This window comes from Homo sapiens, chromosome 5, assembly GCF_000001405.40.
Source record: "Homo sapiens chromosome 5, GRCh38.p14 Primary Assembly".
Lineage (NCBI taxonomy): Eukaryota > Metazoa > Chordata > Mammalia > Primates > Hominidae > Homo > Homo sapiens.
Genome location: NC_000005.10, coordinates 85,278,935 through 85,284,941, shown reverse-complemented (window position 1 = coordinate 85,284,941; position 6,007 = coordinate 85,278,935).

The window sequence follows — 6,007 nt, the reverse complement described above, 5'->3', positions numbered from 1 at the left end:
GGGGGGTGGATCAGTTGAAGTCAGGAGTTCGAGACCAGCCTGACCAACATGTTGAAACCCCATTCCTATTAAAAATACAAAATTATCTGGATGTGGTGGTGCACTCCTGTAATCCCAGCTACTCGGGAGGCTGAGGCAGGAGAATCGCTTGAACCTGGGAGGCAGAGGTTGCAGTGAGCCGAGATTGCACCATTGCATTCTAGCCTGGGCAAGAGGAGCGAAACTCCCTTTCAAAACACACACACACATGCACACACACACACACACAAAACTGTTTCTCATTTGCAGGTAACATCTAGGTACTTGTATCTCCTCCTATACTTGAGGACTATTTATAGTTCTACATGCTAACATTCTAAGTAACTGAAATTTTTGTCATATTTGAATTAAGAGACCATGAAGCATTTTAATGCCAGTGTGCCAAGGCATGATCCTTTTTTTTTTTCTTTTTTTCTAAACTGGCTCATACTTACAAAAAGCAAGGTAGAGAAAGCTTAGTTTATCAAGAAACAACTAATTTTGAAATACAATTCCTTATCTAGCTCATTCTCCTATTAGGTCCATTAGCCCATATGTACTTCAAGAACAACATGTTCATTACATTCTTACTGTCATAGATTAGGGGAGTGTTAGGTTCATAAAAACATATACAGTAAAGGGTTTCTGGAGGGTTTGTGTTTTCATAGAATGTGGTTGTATAATGTCTGATCATTATTATTTTTTAAGTTATTAAGGGTGACTTGTGTTGTCATACCAATTTAATTTTGTAAGTACTTTCAGGAAGTTTCAACATGAGGTGCAGTCTCAAAAAATTTCATATTTAAACATGTAAAATCAAAGTAAAAATTATGCATGAGTTAAGAATGACGAGCCTAAGGTATTTTGTAATATTATTTATATAGGTGTTTAGAAAGCAAAATATAAATATTTATCTCCAAATATAAAAGAGGTTTTTTTTCTTGTTTTTTAATGACAGACAACATACAGAACATGCAAGAAATTATTTTGGAAGTAGAATGTCACATCCATATATATGATTTCCAAACAAAATAGCAGGACACAGACTAAGTTTTTTTTAAAAAAACTGCATCAACAAAGGATATCATGAATACTGTACTTTGCAGATAGTTCTGTCAATATACTGAGACTTATTATAAACTAATAGTTGTTTGCAGACATACAGATTCATTTACTAGAACCTGAAGCAAAGAAATTAAATTGATATGCCTTGAAATGTAAGCTTAATTTTTTTTTAACGTCACACCTGCTGTTAAGATCTTTTTCATTCAGTGCCAGAAATGCTGAACTTGGTTAAAAGTAATAATAGAATGGAGATGGAAATTCAGAAACTGCTTTTGGAATATTGAAGAGCAGCTACACTGTTCCTCTGATACATGTGTAGATCCAAATTTGAAAGACAAATTTGCTCAGGTAATGTTGCATAGCAGCAAGTGCATCTCTGCTACATGCTGTTACCCAGGGACTCCTGTATCTTTGATCTATGACTCTGCAGTCATCCACAGTGAAGTCCTCAAAGATTTTAGTCTCAGGAGCCTTTCCATTTCTGAGAATTATTAAGAATCACAAGGTCTTTCATTTAAATAAGTTATATCAATTGATATTTACTATAGTAAAAATTTAAAGATTCAATTTTAGAGATATTTATTTACTCCACTTAAAAACAGTAATAAATTCATTACATATTAGTGTAATTAATATTTTTAAAACTATATTTTTCAGCAAAGAAAATTGGTGAGAAGAGTGACATTGTTTCACATTGTTGCAAGTCTCTTTAGTGTCTAGCTTGGCAGATGACAGCTACATTCAGATATCTGCCTCTGCATTCGTTAATTTTCAGTATCTCATGTCATGTAGCATTTGGAACACTGTGCTGTGCATTTTCAGAGAATAAGTTTTAAAATACTTGAGTATTACTTAAAATTAAATATATTTAAAATAATTTTGAAAAGTAAAAACAAGATTTTAACATCTCAGTATTAATTTTAAAATAGCCTACCCATTCAGGGTACTGAAAGAGCACTGGGGATTCCCAGAGGTGCCTGGAGGACACTTTGAGAACCACTGTTCTAGGGCCATGTATTCCAATGAGGGAAGATGTTTCCAAACTATCTAGTTTATGGTTCCCTTACTGTCTCAATCATTTTTTTAAAGTGTGACTAGAAAAAAGTAACATGCTAAAATTTTCCTTTATAAGTATTTGGGTTCAAACAGCTTAATAAACATGTCCTAGCAACTTAATAGAGATTTTTAAAATAAAGATAAAATACTACAAATATTTTATTTTATATTATTCTTAAATAACCATAATTTCTTATTATGGGATGATTACACAATTTCTTAATTATGCAATTATATTGGAAATAGTCACCTACATTGCCACTTCTGTATTTTCCTGTCGTACTTCCTTTTTTTAAGGAATTTTAATTTTAAAACAGTTTTAGATTTATAGAGAACTGTGAGAAGATAAGAAAGTTCTTATAAGCCTAAAACTAGTTTCCTATATTATTAACATATTCTTCCAAGTGTGGTTCATTTGCTATAATTATTATTAATTTAAGACTATACTCGGATTTTCTTAGTTTTTACCTCATGTTCTGTTTCTATCCCATGATCACATTGACTTGTCATGTCTCCTTCGGCTCCTCTTGACTCTGAAAATTCATCAGATTTTTCTTTGTGTAATGACTTTGACAACCTTGAGGAGTACTGTACAAGTATTTTGCAGAATGCCCCTAAATAAGGATTTGTCTAATGGTCTTCTCATGATTGGAGTGGATTTACTGGAGAATGAGCACATAGGTATATGCCAGTTTCACCACATCATATTAAGGGCACTTACTATTCATATGACTGATCACTGTTGATGCTTGGCTGAGGTAATGTTTGTCAGGTTTCTTTACTGTAAAATTACTCTTTTTCCCGTTTTCCATACTGTAGTCTTTAGAAGGAAATATGAGCAGTCCATACTGCTTGAGAGCAGAAAATTATTTGGAAATTGTCTGCATTTTAGTTTTTTTTTTTTTTTTTTTTTTTTTGCTTATTTGTTTTTGTTGTTGTTGTTGTTTTTCTAATATCTGCTATGATGACCTGGAAGAGCTCCTGATGATAAAACAGGAGTGTTAGGCCACCTATAACTGAGTCCCCGGGGAGCTTTTACCTCTTAGCTTGTCCAGACTGGGCCTTCAGCAAATCATCAATTACAGTTTCAGGTTTTTGTGCCCCAGCATTGGTTTCTGCAACAGTTTCTGTTAATGAGTTTCTGCTCTGGTAATTTGTGACTCTCTGTATCCACATGTCTATCTCTCCAATTTTTGGAACAGCTGTTTGCCCCGTGACCTCATTTTTCTGAAAACTTTTCTGAAGAAAAGTTGTTGATTTTTCTTTTTGTTCAGCTTTTAATTTGTCGTTTGAATGGAGTGAAAACTTTTAAGTTTCCTATATGCCGTACTGAAAATCAGAAGTGGTGGTTTACATTTTTGGAAAGATTTAATTATTGATTTATAGAGCTCTTCAGGTAATCTATTACTATTTTTGTAATTTTTATAAGTTGTGTCTTTCAAAGAATTGGTTCATTTCATCTGATTTTAAATTTTTTGTCATAGAGTTGTTCATAATATTTCTTTTTTATCATTGAAATAATAACATTGGGAGAAATAGTAATGACCTCTCTTTTATTTCTGATATGCAGGATTTGTGTTTTCTCTCTTCTCTTTCTCTCTCCCTTTTTCTTTTGTTAGCCTGGATATATGTTTAACAATGTTAGTTATCTTTTTTAAACAATCAGATTTGGACTTCGGTTGTGTTAAGGATCTTTGTTTTCTTGAAACATTTATTTTAGGTTGGGGTGGGTACATGTGCAGGTTTGTTACATGGGCAAATAGTGTGTTTCTGTGGGTTTGTGTACAAATGATTTTATCACCCAGGTAGTGAGCATAGTATATAGTACTTGATAGGTAGGTTTTTTTTTTTTTTCTTTTTTTCTTTTTTTTTTGAGATGGAGTCTCACCCTATTACCCAGGCTGGAGTGCAATGGCGCGATCTCTGCTCACTGCAACCTCCACCTCCTGGGTTCAAGCAATTCTCCTGACTCAGCCTCCCGAGTAGCTGGGATTACAGGTGCACCCCACGACGCCTGGCTAATTTTTTGTATCTTTAGTAGAGATGGGGTTTCACTGTGTTGGCCAGGCTGGCTTTGAACTCTTGACTGCACAATCCAACCCCCTTGGCCTCCCAAAGTCCTGGGATTACAAACATGAGCCACTGCACTCGGCAGATAGGTAATTTTTTTATCTTTACTCTCCTCCTAGCCTCCAACCTCAAGTAAGCCCTGATCTCTATTGTTCCCCTCTTTGTGTCCATGCATTCTCAATGTTTAGCTTCCACTTCAGAGTCAAACATGTTTTCTGTTCCTGGATTTATTTGCTGAAGATAATGGCCCCCAGCTGCATTCATGTTGCTGCAAAGGACACAATTCCATTCTTTTATGGCTGCATAGTAGTCCATGGTGTATATGTACCTAATTTTCTTTATCCAGCCCACTATTAATGGACATCTAGGTTGATTCTATGTCTTTGCTATTGTGAAAAGTGCTGCGATGAACATAGGCATGCACATGTCTTTATCATAGAATAATTTATATTCTTTTGGGTATATTCCCAGTAATGGCATTGCTGAGTCAAATGGTAGTTTTGTTTTAAGTTGTTTGAGAAGTCTCCAAAGTGCTATCCACAGCGGGTGAATTAATTTATATTCCTACCAGCAATGTATAAGCATTCCCTTTTGTCTGCAACCTCACCAACATCTGTTTATTTTTTAAATAAACACATCCTAACTGGTGTGAGATGGTGTCTCACTGTGCTTTTGATTTGCATTTGCATTTCCCTAATGATTAGTGATGTTGATCATTTTTATTTTATTTATTATTAATCATTTTTATTTTATTTTATTTTATTTTAAACGGAGTCTTGCTCTGTTGCCCAGGCTGGAGTAAAATGGTGCAGTTTCGGCTCACTGCAACCTCCGCCTCCCAGGCTCAAGCAATTTTCCTGCCTCAGCCTCCCAAGAAGCTGGGATTACAAGCACGTGCCACTATGCCCAGCTAATTTTTGTATCTTTAGTAGAGACGGGGTTTCACCATGTTGTCCAGGCTGGTCTTGAACTCCTGACATCAGGTGATCCACCGGCTTCGGCCTCCCAAAGTGCTGGGATTACGGGCATGATGCATCATGTTCGGCCAAGCATTTTTTCATATGCTTGTTGGCCACATGTGTGTCTTCTTTTGAGAAGTGTCTGTTCATATCCTTTGCAATTTTTTTTAATAAAGCTGTTTTTTGTTTGTTGATTTAAGTTCCTTATAGATTATGGATATTAGACCTTTGTTGAATGCATAGTTTGTAATTTTTTTCCCTTTCTGTAGATTTCTGTTTACTCTGTTGGTAGTTTATTTCGCTGTGCAGAAGCTTTTCAGTTTAATTAGGTCCTACTTGTCTATTTTTGTTTTTGCTGCAGTTGCTTTTGGAGCCTTCATGATGAAATCTATGCCAAGGCATATGTCTAGAATAGTATTTCCCAGATTTTCTTCTAGGGTTTTTACAGATTTAGGTTTCACTTTTAAGTCTTTAAAACATGTTGAATTGATTTTTGTATATGGTGTAAATAATGGTTTTAATTTCAGTCTTCTTCATATGGCTAGCCAGTTATCCCAGCAACATTTGTTAAATAGGGAGTCCTTTCCCCTGTGTTTGTAATTGTTGATGGTCAAATGGTTGAAGTTATGGGCCTTTATTTCTGGGTTCTCTAACCTGTTCAGTTAGTCTATGTATCCGTTTTTTGTACCAATATCATGCTGTTTTGGTTACTGTAGCTCTGTAGTATAGATTGGTGTTGGGTAGTATGATTTCTCTAGCTTCGTTCTTTTCACTTAGGATTGCTTTGGATATTCAGGTTCTTTATTGATTCCCTATGAATAGTTTATTTTAATTCTGTG